Here is a 16670-nt window from a genome sequence, read left to right on the forward strand (position 1 = left end):
TTGCTCCAGGATGATGTCCTCTGCTGTCCTCCCACCCCCACTTTCCAATAGAAAGCATGCAAGGTGGTCTGGACCTTCACTTTGCCCTTGCCTACCAAATCTGCCCAGGCTGACATTGGCACTGAGACTCGGTCCTCTCTTCCACAGGTGCTAATTTTCCTCCAAGCCCTCCTGATGTCCAGGAAGCACAAGGGGGAGGAAGAGACCACAGCGCTCCTGAAGGAGGCAGTGGAGCTTCACTTCTCCAGCATGCAAGGCATCCCTCTTGGCTCTGAGTACTTTGAAAAGCTGGACCCGTACTTCCTGGTCTGCATTGCTAAGGAGTACTTGCTCTTCTGCCCCAAGCAGGTTAGGGGAAGGCCTGTCTTCATGGTGGGGGTCTGGAGTACAGGTTTGGATGGTGCCCACCTGAAGGACAGAGGCAAGGACCTTACTTGGCCAGTCACAAGTAAGGATGGGGTGAGCCTTGGGCAGCTGGGGAGCCCAGTGCTCTTCAAACTTGAACATACAGCACACAGGTCACCTGGGAGGTTGTTCCAGTACAGATTCTGACTCTACAGGGGGGTCTAAAACCCTGCATCTCTAACAGGCTCCCAAGTGATATGGATGCTGCTTGTCTAGGGACCACACTTGGAAGAACAGGGCACCGGCCCATGGCCCTGCCTTTATCCGAGATGAGAATTTGGCTTCCTTTTCCGCAGAAGCCCCCTAAGAAGTATGTTAGTCTTTACTTGTTTGTCCTGCTCTTCCAGCCAGTCAGGATTCTTTGTGACCAAGGATCATATTTTTATACACCTTAATATCCCCCCAGTGCCTTGTAATGAGTCATTCAGCAAATATTTATTGAGTGCATTACTACATGCCAGATACCATTCTCGGTACTGGGGACACAACAGTGAACAAAACAAAGTTCCATAGCCTGGAGCTCGTGCTCTAAGCACTAGGTGATACAGAGGATAATAAATAAGTGTGGAATGAAGCAAAATTCCTTCACTGAGAGCATTTTCTGAGAGCTCCAGGAGTCTCTCTTAGAATAGGGCAAACCTACTCCCACCTCCACCGCCGTGTTCCCACAGCCCAGGTTACCAGGCCAGATCGTGTCTCCACTTCTTAAACAAGTCGCCGTGATCTTGAATCCTGTAGTCAAAGCAGCACCAGCTCTGATCGACCCCCTGTATTTGATGGCTCAGGTCAGGTATTACTCAGGTGAGCGGGGGATCCTGACAGCCGGGTGGGGCCTTGCAAACACCTGATGTAGCTTTGTGTCTGCAGGCTCCTTGCCTAGGATACTACACACACACACACACACACACACACACACACACACACACACACACTCTCCTTGCCTGGGGTACTACGCACACACACACACACATGCATGCTCCTTGCCTGGGGTACTACACACACACACACACACATGCATGCTCCTTGCCTGGTGTACTACACACACACACACACACACACACGTATGCACACACGTGCACACACACACAGGCACATGATCCTACAGGCCTGCCCACTCCCAGCCTCCATTCCCTAGTAAGCTTCCTGACCTCTCACCAGCAGGGGTCTCTCCCACCTAGGCCTTTGTGGATTTACTCATTTGATCTGTGCTGGTAATAGTTATTGAACTTCTTCTGAGATACAGTAGTACCAAAAATAGGCAAAAATTCCCTCATGGAGCTTGCATCTAGTAAGGGGAAATTGACAACTGAATACAAGCTCCACGAGGGAGCACATCGTATTTTTTTGCTAGAACATGGTAATGCTATGGAAGAAGCTGAAACAGGGAAGTGATGCAGGGGTGGCAGGGTTGCGGTTTTGAAAAGGTATCCAGAAAGAACTTGTGGAGAAGTGAGAACCCTGTACCATGAGGCCTTCAGAGCCTCCAGGGGCCCTTTCACCTTCTCCCTTCTCAAGGCCCAGACCCTGGAGAGAAAGGGAAGGAGAGGGAAACTCTTCCATGGGTGCTCTATTGTCCTATCTGATGCAGAGTCCTCCCCTGAAGTACTGTCTCCCTGTGGCCTCTCACCCAATCCTGCCTGCCTGGAAACCAGGCTGATCTGTGGTGTTCTGGGGGTGTCCAAAGGGATCAGAATACTGTGGCCATTTGTCTGTCTTCTGGCATTGCATCGTGTGGGTTGCACTCCTGCTGAGAGCTTTCCTGTCTTCATCCTTAGTCCTCCCTATGTTCATTTGGGTGCCAGGTTTCCCCACAGCTTCAAGGTATCCTGGATACAAGGCCAGGGTGAGAGAACTTCCCCTGGGTGCCGGCATCTGCCAGCAGATTTGGGCCCAAAGCAGTCTCCAGCTGTGTAGGTTGCCATGGTGACCTCTTCACATTTCCACAGCACATAAGAAGGAGCAGGGAGCTTGGGACCCAGAAACAGGTGCTCCCTACCCACCAGGTTATGGATCCCAAGTAGGAGTTGTTGAGAGACCTGACTGCGAGGGAAGAGAGTGCCCCTACCAACTCATCACACCCAACCCCTAGGCTGCTGCTACCACCCTGAAAGTGCCAGCCTGTCTGCAGGGAGGCCCCGCAGCCCTCAAGCCCCAGGGGGTTCAGAGCTGAAGCTCAGGAACCCAATAGGCCTGGACGTAAATGCCAACTTCGCCCCTTCCAAGCCGAGTGGCTTATATCACTGGAGCCCCAGGTACCACATCTGAAAAGACAAGAACAATAGCACCAACCTTGCAGGGCTGGGCAAGTAATAAATCAGACTTTCTAAAGTGTTTTGCAAGTATTGAACATAGAGCAGGAGCTTCTTAAATTGTAACTATTATAGTTGCTGTTACTACTAGGTTTTGTTTGCTCTTAGGTGTGGGAATTGAGACTTAATGTGTTCCCCTGAGCTTCTGGATGGAGCTGTGAAGTGACTTAGCTATCTCCCTGAGGGTTACAGAGACAAGAAGGGTGTTGCACTGAGGTTTGAGTTTCCTGTCGTTTGTCTGAGTCAAGGAAACAACTGTGTAGTCTTAATTTTAGAAATGGACCCCTGAGTGAAGCAGAACAAAACTGGCTAAAATACTCAATTTTGTATATTTCTGGGGAACAGGACATGTAAAATTCATTCTGCCCTTGCATATCAGGTCTTAGGAGCCCTTGGGAACCCTGCATGTAGAGGTTTGTGTATTATTTCTAGGAGAGCTAGAGAATGCCCAGAGCATCCTGCAGCGTTGCCTGGAGCTGGACCCCGCCTCCGTGGATGCCCATCTCCTCATGTGTCAGATCTACTTGGCTCAGGGCAACTTTGGCATGTGCTTCCACTGCTTAGAGCTGGGTGTCAGCCACAACTTCCAGGTGGGTGCCCTCTCATCCTCTCAGCATCCCAAAGCCCAGCTAGCTGTGGCCCCTGTTTGCCTTCTGAGAGTAGCCCCAGGGGCTAGCTGTGTCCCGTAGATCTTTCTGCTCGTCCAAAGGCAGGGGTAGGCTCAGTGGGCTCCTGAGGCTTTCTCTGACCTGGCTGCTGTGAGCAGCAGCAGTAGCAGCAGTGAACTGGAGCCCCACACTCTGCTGTGCTCCTCCTAGGTCCGAGATCACCCCCTCTACCACCTCATCAAGGCCAGGGCCCTCAACAAGGCTGGAGACTATCCAGAGGCCATAAAGACGCTGAAAATGGTCATCAAATTGCCAGCTCTGAAGAAGGAAGAAGGCAGAAAGTTCCTCAGGCCCTCTGTGCAGCCTAGCCAGCGGGCATCCATCTTATTGGAACTGGTGGAGGCCCTCCGGCTGAATGGGGAGCTAGTAAGAAATGCCGTGCTCTCTTCCCTGGGGACTGGGGCACACTGGAGGCTCAGGGTAGGCCCAGGAACCAGGTTCTTTGATTCCACCCACTGTTTACTTGTGCATCAAGTGAAGGGTCTGTTTGATTCCCATGTTTTAGCATGAGGCCACCAAGGTCATGCAGGACACCATCAATGAGTTCGGTGGCACACCAGAAGAGAACCGCATCACCATTGCCAACGTGGACTTGGTCCTGAGCAAGGGCAATGTGGACGTGGCGCTGAACATGCTAAGGAACATCTTGCCCAAGCAGTCCTGCTATATGGAAGCCAGAGAGAAGATGGCCAACATCTACCTGCAGACCCTCAGAGACAGGCGCCTCTACATCAGATGCTACCGGTAAGCCCCACAGGCAGCACAATGACAGCTTCTTCTCCAATGGTATCTTAGGGAGTGTTTCCTTCAGATGGTATTTCTTCAACCTGGGTCTCCAGAATGTGTCCTTGGAGTGTAGTTGATGAATGTATGGAATTGTCCATGGGTTACAATTTGAGCATGAAAGGTCAGTAAGCCCTGTTCATGGATGAGGATACAGAATCGAATTGGCCCTGAGCCCTGCTTGCCTCCCCCTCACCTGCTTGCACATGCTAGTGGGAGACTGTAGGCCTGGTTCTCAGAGCAGACACACTGAAGCTCCAAGCTGCTGTCTCTGTATGATTTTGCATTGGGACCTCCAAGGTGCCTTCCTCATCCCTTTCTTCTGGCAGAGCTGCATCTAAGCAATTTAAAGTGGGAGGTGGGGATGCTGAGGGAGTAGGGAAGGCTATCCAGCAGTGGGAAACCAGTGAACAGTATGGAGGCACGGCCAGATTGGAGTTTTAGAAAGAGTGACATTGCTGCCTCATGGAGAGGGATCTGGAGGGATAGCAGGTAGAGTGAGAGGAACAGGTAGAGGGCCTGGCCATGGCCTAACTACAGAGATGGATGTGGAGAGCCTGACTCAGGTAGCTAGCACAGTGCCTCATTCACAGTGGACTTTCTATAAATATTGATTGATGAATGAATGAATGTCAGCCAGAATCAGTGGGAAGGAAGTGAAGGAGATGATTTCAGGAACATGAGGTGTGTGCGAACCTGGGATAAGCTTTTGGTTACTCTTGCTTGCAGTGAGCTCTGTGAACATCTGCCTGGCCCCCACACCAGCCTGCTACTGGGCGATGCCTTAATGAGCATTCTGGAGGTAAGTGAGAGGCCTCACAGCCTTGCCAAGTGGCCCCCCAGTCTCCCTTCTCCAGTGGGAGAGAAGAGGAAGACCCAAAGACACTTTCCCCACCAGCCCGAGAAGGCCCTGGAGGTCTATGATGAGGCCTATAGACAGAACCCACATGACGCCTCCCTGGCCAGCAGAATTGGGCACGCTTATGTGAAGGCCCACCAGTATACTGAGGTCAGGCTGGGCTAGGGTGTGAAGGGGCAGGGAGGGCCAGCCCAGCAGGGAAGGAGGAGGACGGTACATGACTGGGGAGCTCTGGGTGGGAGGAGAGTGGCTGACTTTTCACTCAGCTCCTTGCTGAATGGGGTGCCAAGGGGAGAACTCAGCAACTCTCTGCTGCTGACCACACCTGCTTAAGCTGAGGGTTACACCCTGTGCCAGCTGGGAGGAGTGCCTTTTCACTTTAGGCTATGTTCTGGAGGGGCACACTGGTGTGATGGCTGCTGAGGGGAACATGGTGTCGGGCACTGAAGGGCAGAACCAGGCCAGAGGCTAATATTTACTGTTTGCACTAAGGCAATTGAGTATTATGAGGCTGCCCAGAAGATTAATGGACAGGACTTTCTGTGCTGCGATCTGGGCAAACTGCTCCTGAAGTTAAAGAAGGTCAATAAAGCAGAAAAAGTTTTGAAGCAGGCACTGGAACATGACATTGGTGAGGCAGCATTGTAACCCATTTCTAGCATTTGGAGCAGACATACTCCTCCCCCATTCCCCATTAGCTGAAGTCCTGATCCCAGCGCTCCCCACCAACACAGCTTCCCAGGAGCCAGTGAACTAACACTAATTTGAGTTTCCATTTAACAGTCCAAGACATCCCATCCATGATGAATGATGTTAAGTGCCTGCTTTTGCTGGCAAAGGTTTACAAGAGCCATAAAAAAGAAGCTGTGATAGAAACTTTGAACAAGGTAATTGACAGGTGGACTCAAGCTCTTTATCTGCCATCTGCTGATGGGGGCTGAAGGAGGAGGAAGGAGAGAGCTCCAGGTCTGGAAAGCCCCAGACCTCTTCCTTAAAAAAGGACCTAGGTTACACCTCTGACATCCACCTTCACTTATTTTCCCGTCCTGGTTCATTCAGTTATGGTACACTAATGTGCTCTGAGCTGTGGTGGGCTGGGAAAGGCAGGAAGTAAGAGAGTGCCTTTGTCCTCAAGGGTGATAGTAGAGATAATAAGGATGGTAATGACAATAGCTCCCATGCATTGAAAGCTCTGTGCTAGGTTCTGTAGGGTTTTTGCTTTCTTATTGAATGATCACAGTAGCCCTTTGTAATAAGCATTGTGACATTCCCATGTAGCAGATAAGTCTCTAGGAGGTTGAGAAATGTGCCCAAAGTTGGGTTCAGTTGTGTTAGTCTGTATTCTGTTGGTGTATACCAGAATACTTGAAACTGGGTAATTCATACATTTTCTACAGTTCTAGAGGCTGAGAAGTTCAAGGTGGAGGAGCCACATCTGGTGAGATCCTTTCTGCTCAGGGGAAGGGGAACTCTCTAAAGAGTGCAGTGCAGGGCATCACATGGTGGGCGGGGGGTGCCGAGCATGCTAACATGCTTGCTCCGGTCTCTCATCCTCTTCTAATGAAGCCACCAGTTCCACTCCCATGATAACCCATTAATCCATTCATCCATGTGTAGTTTAATCCATTTATGAGGGCAGATCCCTCATGATCCAATCACCTCTCAAAGGCCCTAACTTTCAATACTGCCACATTGGGGATTAAGTTTCCAGGAAAGCTCATGACATTTGGGGGGCATGTTCAAACCATAGCAACGTCATATGTTGCTTATCAGCAGGGATATGATTTTGTTGTGTGAACATCATAGAATGTACTTCCACACACCCAGATGATATAGCTGACTTCACACCTAGGCTATCTAGTGTAGCCTATTGCTCTGAGTCTATAAACCTGCACAGCATGTTACTCTACTGAATACTGTAGACAGTTGTAGCATCATGGTAAGTATTTGTGTATTTATACACAGCTAAACATAGAAAATGTACAGTAAAAATACAGTATTATAATCTTAAGGGACCAGCATCGTATATGTGGTCTGTCATTGACTGAAATGTTATGCAGCACGTGACTGTACCAGCAAGTGGTGGAGCTGAGATCTGAGCCAGGTCTGGCCTTTCCCAACCCATGCTCTTTGCACACTGGGCTGCCCCTGATCCGAGAGCCCCCGGCCATTCCTGTCATATCTTCCTCACGTTTTTCCCCCCAGGGGTGTGGCCTCAAACTTGTTCCTGGAGTATGCTCTGTGCTTCTAGAGGGAGGGCCCACTCTCTGACTGTTTGAGATGATTTATCCCCTTGTTTACCACTGGATTCCCATTCCTCTTTTTGGCCCTCGGGGAGCCAAGTGCTGATTCCTACCCATGTCCTACAGCTTAACCCTGGCATCATCATTTCCTCTTGCCCTGATGTTCTCTGCTTACTCACCTGATCATTTGTGTGGTGAATATTTGTGGGTGCTTCCTCAAATTCCCAGCAGGGAGGCATACAGAACAGAACAGTCTACTGTGTGCCTTGGACACCTACTGTGTGCTAGTTCTAGCCTGTAGTGCAGTGAAGCGAATTAGACACAGAACCTCAAGGTGTGATGGAAGCAGGTAAACAGGCTAAGTACAAAAGCGTGTTTTGTTTGAGTCCTTTGCTTCTGCTCCTGCCCCCAGAGGCAGTGCCAGCTTGCCTCATGTGTACTCAGCCAGTGGCTTTGCCTATTCAGAGTGACCCAAATTTGCCCAAGGGCACTTATGTGTCATTTTTCATACTTCTGGCTTTGAATTAAGAACTTAGGACTTTCTGTGAACTGGTATGTCAGGCTCTGAGTTTCTGATCCTGGCTTGATTGGTTTCTCGAGGCCTTGGACCTCCAGTCTCGGATACTGAAGCGAGTTCCACTGGAGCAACCAGAAATGATTCCCTCCCAGAAGCAACTGGCAGCCTCTATCTGCATCCAATTTGCAGAGCACTACCTGGCAGAGAAAGAGTATGACAAGGCGGTACAGTCTTATAAGGATGTCTTCTCCTACTTGCCAACTGACAATAAGGTGAGTGGCCCTCAAAGCAAGAGGCTGCTTTCTCCCTCAGGGCACAATGACTTGCTGAGCTCACTGACCAGGTACAGGGGCCAGTCCCTTCTCCATTCTTCCCTGAGGAGTCACAGATATGATGGGCATGGGAGGCCAGCTAGCAGTGGCCTCTGGGGTAAGGTGTCTGCTCCTGCTGACCTGGGGCCTCACCTGCTGCAGCCCTTGGAGCAAGGCTCACCATGGATAGCCAAATGTGAAGGGTGTAGTGGGGAAGACATTGCTGAAAATCACGTTAGTCTGACATTTTCAAGTCCCCGTTGGAGGTGGGGAGATGATGAGGGTTGCAGCTGTCAGGGCACTTTGGGCATGAAGTGCAGGCTGAGCTTCCAAGAGGGCCTAGAGTTGTGAGGGAGGTGTGGCTCCAGATAAGGGAACCATAGTTGGAGTTCACGCTAACACAGTAGATGAAGAGCTTAGTGACCGATACATTCATTCATTTAATACTCAACTCATTTAACAGATACCTCATCTAATATGTGCCAAGTACTTTGCCCGGCTCTGGAGACATAGTGGGGCAAAGCTTGGTCACTGCCCACAGATTACCCTTGGGCAAGGGCATGTAGACGAGAGCACAGGCAGCGCTAATGCCATGCAATACATGCCTGCATGGGGATACAGGGCACCACTTGGAGGAATGGTACCTGCCCCAGAGTCTGGGGCACAGAGGGCTCTCAGAGCAGTGAGGCCAGAGGTGAAGCTGAAGGATGAAAATGTGTTAGCTTGGCCCAACTTTCAGAGGTTAGTAAGACACAGGGTATGACTGGAGAACTGCATGGGAGAAGGGGAAGGCCAGGACGTTCACGTGGGGAATTCGAGACATATTTTGAAGGCAGAGCTGATAGAAGTGGGGTGTGAGGGAAAGAGCTGTCAAGGATAACCCCAGGGGTTTCCCATGGTGTTTACTAGTTAGTTTATTATATCCGGCCTTGTCCCAGGTGATGCTGGAGCTGGCGCAGCTCTACCTGCTCCAGGGGCACCTGGACCTGTGTGAGCAGCACTGTGCCATCCTCCTGCAGACTGAGCAGAACCATGAGACCGCTTCTGTGGTAGGAAGCCCCCAGCACCCACTCCCTCCCCTCCCTTCCTCCCTTCCCAGGGTCCCTGTGACCAGATGCAGGCTACTTCCTAGCCCCGTAACCTCAGATGCCTCACTGACACACCTCTGAGGAGCTGTCGGGCAGAGAGGACTCAGTGCTGCACCTACTCTGCCCTTTAGCCGGAAGCGGTAGGCTGGCTGGCAGTGGGCAGCATCAATCTCCTGGGCCAGTCTAAGGTGGGGTGAGGTTGATTCACCCCAGGGGAAAGCACATTCACTGTAGGTGAAGGCAAGGGCGGGACAGGTTCCTGGGGCTTCAGGAAAAGCCCTCCTCGGTCCTGCCTCTCTCTTCCCTATCATCCAGACCTCCTCTAGGGCTGGCCCAGGAGCAGAAGCTGAGCCCTTGCAGAGCAAGGAGGGGTCCTCATCCCTACCTCTATTGCCTGGCAGTTCTCAGAATGGGTGGAGAGGCTTCCCCTGTAGGCTGTCAAAAAGCCCCACTGGTCTCTACCACTAGTCTTACCTTCCCATGTACATCCTCAACCCAACTCTTCTTGCCCCTCACCTTGGGAAGTCCTCACCTTCTGGGTGGGGGCCTGAGAAACCCTCAGGCTTCTCCTGTGGCAGCTTCTCACAAGGCCTAGGGAGGCTGCCTTGCAAGTCCTTTTCTACCTTCCCTTCTTACCACCATCACCCCCATACCCCCCGCCTCCCCCTACACCCATGCAAGCTGCCACTGTTGGGAAATCTGGAGCTTTGTGTGTTTTCTGATAGTTGATGGCTGACCTGATGTTTAGAAAACAGAAACATGAAGCGGCCATCAATCTTTACCACCAAGTCTTGGAGAAAGCGCCAGGTAATTCTGCCCATGGAGACTGCCTGTACCAGTTCCCACTGAGCAAGGGCCGCTCTCCCAGAGAAGGGTGGGACCTCTCCCTCCTTCCTGACTGGGCAGAGGAAGCCCCTTCCTCCCTGATTGTTCCAGAGAAGCAGGAAACTGATAAAGACCCAGTGGAACGTGCCGGCCCTTCCCGAGTCCAAGGGGCCAGTTCCTGGTCTCAAGGACTTGGCACTGGACCCAGGACAGCATGTCTGTCCCCAAATCACAGCCAATGGGGCTTGACACAGTCCCCTTTTGAGGTCACAGCCACTTGTAGGGACTAGAAATTCTCCCCCGTTGTATAGCTTCATTCCCATTCACTGCAGCGTAAAACCACCCCTTATTGCTGGGGAAAGGGGCCAGACCTGAGGCTCAGGTTGGAGCCCTGGCAGGCCCATGGCAGTGTGCCCATAGGCCCAGGAGGTCACCACGGTTAGGAGTATGGGTGCTGGGGCCAGGCTGCCTGGGTCTGAGTCCTGGTCTACCACTTACTGGTTGTGCAACTTTCAGCAAATTATTTCTCCATGTCTCAGTGTCCTCATCTGTAAAACAGACACAATAAGAGTACCTACCTAGGCCGGGCATGGTGGCTCACACCTGTAATCCTAGCACTTTGGGAACCCGAGGCGGGCAGATCACAAGGTCAGGGGATCGAAACCATCCTGGCTACACGGTGAAACCCTGTCTCTACTAAAAATACAAAAAAATTGGCCGGGCGTGGTGGCGGGTGCCTGTAGTCCCAGCTACTCGGGGGTGGGCTGAGGCAGGAAAATGGCATGAACCCAGGAGGCAGAGCTTGCAGTGAGCCGAGATCACGCCACTGCACTCCAGCCTGGGTGACAGGGCGAGACTCCGTCTCAAAAAAAAAAAAAAAGATTAGGTACCTACCTAATCTTGCAGTTAATATATAGGTAAAGCACTTAATACCAGGTACAATATAAGTGCTATATAAGTGTTAGCTGCTATTCTTTACTATTTTTAAGCATTAGTATTATTCTTTACTCAACCCTGGAGACCAGTGGAGACTCTGGAGCTGTTGGAATGTCCCTGCTCAGCCCAGATGGGCAGTATCTCTTGGCTTCTCCTAGGGCCCCAGCACCCTCATCTGATAACAGCTACTGGGCATTTCAGCCTGGAGATTTCTGTCTCTTATTTTAGACAATTTTTTGGTATTGCATAAATTAATCGATCTGCTAAGAAGAAGTGGAAAACTTGAAGACATTCCTGCCTTCTTTGAATTGGCCAAGAAGGTGTCTAGCCGGGTGCCTTTGGAACCAGGGTTCAATTACTGCAGAGGTATCTACTGCTGGTGAGTTGGGTGTGGTGTGTTGAGGGGCAGCTGTGTGCAGGAAGCCCTACTGGCAGATAGGCTAGGCCCTTGCTCTGCACAAAAGGAGCAGAAATTCTGCCTCCAGGACACCCGGACCCAGCAAGTGAGGGCCCATGGGGGCAGGGGTGGAACCCTGTGGAAGTCAGGGAGAGCCTGCAGCCTCTGGATGGAGGCCAGGTGAGGGCCACTTGGGCAGGCCACCAGCCTGCATCCAACACACAGGTCCGACGCCCGCATCTCCTCCAGGGGAGCTGGGAAACCAGAGATCCAGCCTCTGCTTTGTGCAGACTCACAAAGTGGTCCTTGTATATCCCTGCCCTGTCTGGGCCTCAGTTTCCCTCACTGATTCTTGGTGTTTTCTCCACCACAGGCACATAGGGCAGCCCAACGAAGCCTTAAAGTTCCTGAACAAGGCACGCAAGGACAGCACTTGGGGCCAGAGCGCCATCTACCACATGGTGCAGATCTGTCTGAATCCAGACAACGAGGTTGTGGGCGGAGAGGCTTTTGAGAACCAGGGAGCTGAGAGCAAGTAAGGGCCCATGGAGGCAGGGGCGGAACCCTGGGGAAGTTACAGAAAGCCTGCAACCTCTGGGTTGAAGCCAGGTGAGGGCCACACGGGCAGGCCACCGGCCTGTGTCTGATACCCAGGTCTAACACCTGCAGCTACATGGAGAAGAAGGAGTTGGAGCAGCAGGGTGTGAGCACCGCCGAGAAACTGCTGCGTGAGTTTTACCCACATTCAGACTCCAGCCAGACCCAGCTGCGGCTGCTGCAGGGCCTCTGCCGGCTGGCCACCAGGGAGAAGGCTAACATGGAGGCTGCGCTGGGCAGCTTCATCCAGATAGCGCAGGCTGAGGTGTGGCTGGTGGGGACTGGCGGGCATGGGCAGGTGGCAGGGCCGAGAAGACCAGGCGGCCAACACGTGCTGACGTCCACTTCCTACCTGGTGTGTAGAAGGACAGCGTCCCTGCCCTGCTGGCCTTGGCACAAGCCTACGTGTTCCTGAAGCAGATCCCCAAGGCGCGTATGCAGTTGAAGCGCCTGGCCAAGACCCCCTGGGTGCTGAGTGAGGCTGAGGACCTGGAGAAGAGCTGGCTCCTGCTGGCTGACATTTACTGCCAGGGCAGCAAGTTCGACCTCGCCTTAGAACTGCTGCGGCGCTGTGTGCAATACAACAAGGCAAGGAGCCACACACACACTAGGGCTGCGGGATGGCGGAAAGGATTCTAGGCATTCCAGGAAGGTGAAGCAGGCTTTGCAGGTAGAGGCCATATGGAATAAGAACTAGTCGGGAAGAGGCAGGCTGAGAGGGGCACATGGGCGACAGACCAGAATAGGAATGAGGATCAAGGGCGATGGACCAGGTGAGAGGAGGTGCACAGGGGTCGTGTTATGTCCAGAGGAGGGAACACTAAAGGACAGAAAGAGATGGGAAAGCTTCATGGGTTCCAAGCTGGAGGGACTTTTGCAGGTCAGAGCAGGCCAGGAATGGGAGTGGCGGAACAGGAGGGCTACAGGGAAAGGGGTTACGCCAGTGTCTGGGGTAGCTGAGAGGAGGGCACACAGTTGGCTTCTTGCAAAGGTTGGGGTACCCCTGGGGTCCCTTGGCAGTTTGGTTTATGGCAGCTCACTTCTGTCCCTTGCCTGCTTCTGGTTCTGGTCCCAGTCCCACCCTGGCCCAGGGAACCAGTTGGGGCTTCCGCTCTGCAGAGGCTCTAACTGGCTTTCCCTGCAGTCCTGCTACAAGGCCTATGAGTACATGGGCTTCATCATGGAGAAGGAGCAGTCCTACAAGGATGCAGTCACCAACTACAAACTGGCCTGGAAGTACAGTCATCACGCCAACCCTGCCATTGGTAAGGCAACCAGCCAGGGTGCACGTGAATGGACGTGGGAGGGAGGTGGGCAGGAGGGCCCCCACCATGACCCCAGAACTCAAGGCCTGTACCCTGGCTGTTATGAGAACCAGAGGGGTTCTCAGGTCACCAGGGTGCCACCATCTTTGCTCTCCATGTCCCCGGTAGGCTTCAAACTTGCTTTCAACTACCTGAAGGACAAGAAATTTGTGGAGGCCATTGAAATCTGCAACGATGTAAGCCAGCAGCCTTGGTGGGGAGGGCCTGGTGTAGTGGTGGGGAAACCTGCATGATACTGCACACCCATTCTCTCTCTGTTCCAGGTCCTCAGGGAGCACCCCGACTACCCCAAGATCAGGGAGGAAATTTTGGAAAAGGCCCGAAGGTCCCTGAGGCCCTAGCTGGGGTCAAGGGGCCTGGACCAGTAGAAGCCATCAACCTACTGAAGTTGTGTGGAGGGATGGAAAGTGGGTCAGTGGAGAAGGGATTCAGAAAATGACACATTCTTCCCCATTTCTATAGTGTATGTGGTTTATTTTGAGTCATGTCTCATCTGACCTAACTTTATGTTTTTAAGGCACAAGAAATTTTGCTCTGGGAAGAAAGACATCAACTGGCTTAACTTTTGCTGGGCTCATTGGGCGCTTTCTAACAGACCTCGCTTTTATCCCAGACTCTTTGAGGGGGCGGAGGGGAGCAAAGAGGGGGCTCCTAGTGGAATGGTGGTTGAAAAGAATCCCCTTCAGCTGTTTTTCAATGGTTGTTGCCCCTCTCCTGTCTGGTCTCCAGGATCCTGGAGCTAAAGAAGCAGATACTTCTCCCTGCCATGCTACCCTGAGTCTGCCTGGCGGTGGGCCCAGGATGCTGTGGGCAGTGGGCCCAGACAGGAGGATTAACTGCAGAAGGCCCGCACAGCTAAGGCCCTGTGTGAGAGGGCCTGCAGGGTGCAAGAGCCATTGTCCCACCCTGTCCATGCATTGTTTCCCTTGCCCCTGCCCCCCGCACCCCCACTCCCCGCCAAGTCCAGCTGGCTTCTTCTAGTCCTTACCAGTTTGGGACAAACCTGACTACCCTCGCCTGGCACAAGGAAATACATGCCAAGAAAAAATAGTTCCCACTTCAGCTTTTACAAAATACACTGCCTATCTAACATCCTACAGAAACCCTTTTAATGTCTAAGGGGGCAAATGCAGTGGTTCCTATTTAGATGAATAATGTTAACTGCAACTGGCAAGAGGGTGACAGAGGGCACCTTTGCTGTGCTCCCAATACCAGTCTTCCTTGATGTCATTAAGGATGCCAATAATGGGACAGTCTGGCCTCAGGACAATCAGGAAGCCTAGGATCTCCCAATGTGGCTTTCCCGGGTCCCTTCCCCTCTCTGGGTCTTAGTGTCCCCATTTGTGGCAGGAAATTAGATGTCTCCCAAATCATGGCACAACTCTCTGCCAGTGATACACAGCAAACATTTTAAAGTTTAATAACTATGTGTTTTTAAAAACACATCATTTTTACATGGAAAACCAACTAGCACAGAAAAGTCAGGAATTTATGGGTGCTGTTCCATGGGATGGGTTTAACTTTTAAGCATACTGATATAATTGATTTAAAGAAAAATTATTTAGAGTAAGTAGAATGCAGATATGATATGGGCAGAGTTTTCAAGAGCAGTTGTCCAGTGACTAAGGTTTGGGAACAGTGGACAGATAAGGGTCCCTTTGGAACAGTGTAACTCGGATGGTGCTGAGCCTTGTTTTTATAACACACTGCTGATCACATACATGGTTTGTTGATATGAGCTGGGGATCTGGAATGCTTTCTCCAGGTTACTACCATTTTTCCTACGGGAAAACCCAGTCCCCTTTCTGTGATCTGCTTTACAACCCAGTTTTGTTGGGACAGGTTTGTTGACAGGTCTATCTATATGGAGAATGATCCTGTAAAGGGATTGTACATTAATCATGTTTTTGCTGTAAAACCTAGATTGTCTTCATTTATCTAAAAACAGAGAAACAAAAACTAAGAACCCTGTGGCCCTAGATGGGAGTAGGCAGGCCTCAGTCCAGCCATGGGCTGAGTCCATGTGGTGGAAGCCTGTTGGGACTTCCTGCCAGAGTACTGGAGCTGAGGGCTGCCACCCAGACCACCAGGCCAATCAGAGTGACCCTGGGAACCCTTGAAGAACCCAGGTTTTGGATTGTGCTTGCTGAAGTAATCGCTACAGAAGGGTGTCTAGGCACCAGTGAAGAAGAGACAGGACAACTCAATGTACCAGGGTACTCTAACCTGAGAAGCCTATTCCTAGTTAAGCTGGTTACAGGGACATACTGCCGCACCATAGGCCAGACTCCAAACTATGAGTCCTCTAATGGCACTGATATGGCCATGTGGTCATGACCATGCATGTCCAGAGGCAAGAGACAGATACCTGAAGGGTGACAGGACAGGCAAAAAAAGGATTAAACATTCAGAGAAAGAATGGCAGAAACATGAAAATCAATGCAAGTTGCAAACATACACAGGACTTGCATGTTCCAGGCACTCTTTAAGGGCTTTGTAAATATGAAATAAACAAGTTTATGAGGTGAGTAGTGTTACTGTTTGCATGTAGTATTGAGGACACCCAGGCACAGAGGGAGTAATTTGCACAAATCACCTCACTAGGTAGCAGAAAATCTGAGATTCAAGCCCAGCATTCTGGCTCTGTGCTCTTACCAGTTAAGCCAAAGAGATGAGTGAGCCCAGTACAGACCAAGGCAGAGAATTAGAGCAAGGAGACCCAAATCAGTTCTCCTCTGGCGGTTCCTCCTTCCAGCTCTTGTACAAATCACTATCATTCCTAAGGGGGAAGTCAACCTTTCTCAGGCCCCCAGACTGGGGCTCCCCAGAGCAGGGTGTGGCCTACTCCTCTGGCCTGCTGCCCAGCTGAGCTGCCAGGGACAGGTCAGACAGGTCTGGCTGGTGCAGAGGGATGAGGTTCTGCAGCTTCCCCCTGCCCTTTCCGCTGCCCCCCTGCTCAAGTCCCCAGGGACCACAGCTGCTACGTAAGGCCATCACCAGGCCTTGACCAGGCACATGCCCTTACCCTGCCTCCACCCAGGTTGGTGAATTCACCCTCAGGACAAGGCCTCAGCTCAGTGTGGGTGTGTAGGAAGAAGGGTGCCCTTACCCATCCCCAGCAGATAGCCCCATGTCAGAAGACCCTGGTGCTGCTCCTCCCCACCACCCCAGGTCACCACTGTAGAGGAACAGGTTACTCCAAAGGAAAAACTGCTCTATCTGCCTGGCCAGCCTCTCAGCTGGCTTCCTGCCTCCAACTTGACTGGCTTGCCTGGAAAGAGGCCCAATATGCTGGGTGTGCCTACTCCTACCCCTCAACACAGCCTGTGTCCATACTCCCCTCTGCAGGGCTTGTCCCCCATCCCCTTTGCCCCTGCTTCCCACCCCACAAATACATACCACATTGC

General features: G+C 51.8%; 1 protein-coding gene and 1 non-coding gene across 27 annotated transcripts in view, besides 2 other annotated features; both read left to right on the top strand.

Moving 5' to 3' along the window:
• TTC21A (tetratricopeptide repeat domain 21A) overlaps window positions 1-13716 on the top strand; it is a 31221-nt gene extending 17505 nt beyond the window's left edge. For 4 of the 26 annotated variants that reach the window (NM_001366899.1, NM_001366900.1, XM_047447649.1 and 1 more), the window contains 19 exons: window positions 148-348; window positions 1077-1206; window positions 3147-3304; window positions 3533-3748; window positions 3888-4126; window positions 4895-4967; window positions 5064-5174; window positions 5517-5655; window positions 5808-5911; window positions 7868-8056; window positions 9034-9144; window positions 9909-9990; window positions 11173-11323; window positions 11715-11876; window positions 12011-12203; window positions 12302-12526; window positions 13083-13203; window positions 13372-13439; window positions 13527-13716. In NM_001366899.1, the coding sequence (NP_001353828.1) occupies window positions 148-348; window positions 1077-1206; window positions 3147-3304; window positions 3533-3748; window positions 3888-4126; window positions 4895-4967; window positions 5064-5174; window positions 5517-5655; window positions 5808-5911; window positions 7868-8056; window positions 9034-9144; window positions 9909-9990; window positions 11173-11323; window positions 11715-11876; window positions 12011-12203; window positions 12302-12526; window positions 13083-13203; window positions 13372-13439; window positions 13527-13604 (2751 nt within the window). In that variant the 3' untranslated portion in view covers window positions 13605-13716. Of the gene's footprint in view, window positions 1-147; window positions 349-1076; window positions 1207-3146; window positions 3305-3532; window positions 3749-3887; window positions 4127-4894; window positions 4968-5063; window positions 5175-5516; window positions 5656-5807; window positions 5912-6421; window positions 6463-7867; window positions 8057-9033; window positions 9145-9908; window positions 9991-11145; window positions 11324-11714; window positions 11877-11995; window positions 12204-12301; window positions 12527-13082; window positions 13204-13371 lie in introns of those variants that run through there. The other 22 variants (XM_005264921.6, XM_011533447.4, XM_005264925.6 and 19 more) reach the window with 19 other exon arrangements.
• Window positions 159-334: a silencer, noted in NCBI's record as "fragment chr3:39166834-39167009 (GRCh37/hg19 assembly coordinates)". NCBI's record gives its function as "represses an EF-1alpha promoter that drives an FKBP-Casp9 reporter gene in an ReSE screen in phorbol 12-myristate 13-acetate-treated (for megakaryocytic differentiation) K562 erythroleukemia cells {active_cell/tissue: K562(+PMA)}" and the evidence as "EXISTENCE:reporter gene assay evidence [ECO:0000049][PMID:32094911]".
• Window positions 11058-11963: an enhancer, noted in NCBI's record as "H3K4me1 hESC enhancer chr3:39177733-39178638 (GRCh37/hg19 assembly coordinates)". NCBI's record gives its function as "activates a minimal SCP1, AML or CMV promoter by ChIP-STARR-seq in primed H9 embryonic stem cells {active_cell/tissue: H9 hESC(primed)}" and the evidence as "EXISTENCE:reporter gene assay evidence [ECO:0000049][PMID:30033119]".
• MIR6822 (microRNA 6822) lies at window positions 13022-13082 on the top strand. The gene has a single exon (NR_106880.1). It is a non-coding gene; the product is annotated as a microRNA 6822 (primary transcript).

The sequence above is a fragment of the Homo sapiens genome, chromosome 3, assembly GCF_000001405.40.
Source record: "Homo sapiens chromosome 3, GRCh38.p14 Primary Assembly".
Lineage (NCBI taxonomy): Eukaryota > Metazoa > Chordata > Mammalia > Primates > Hominidae > Homo > Homo sapiens.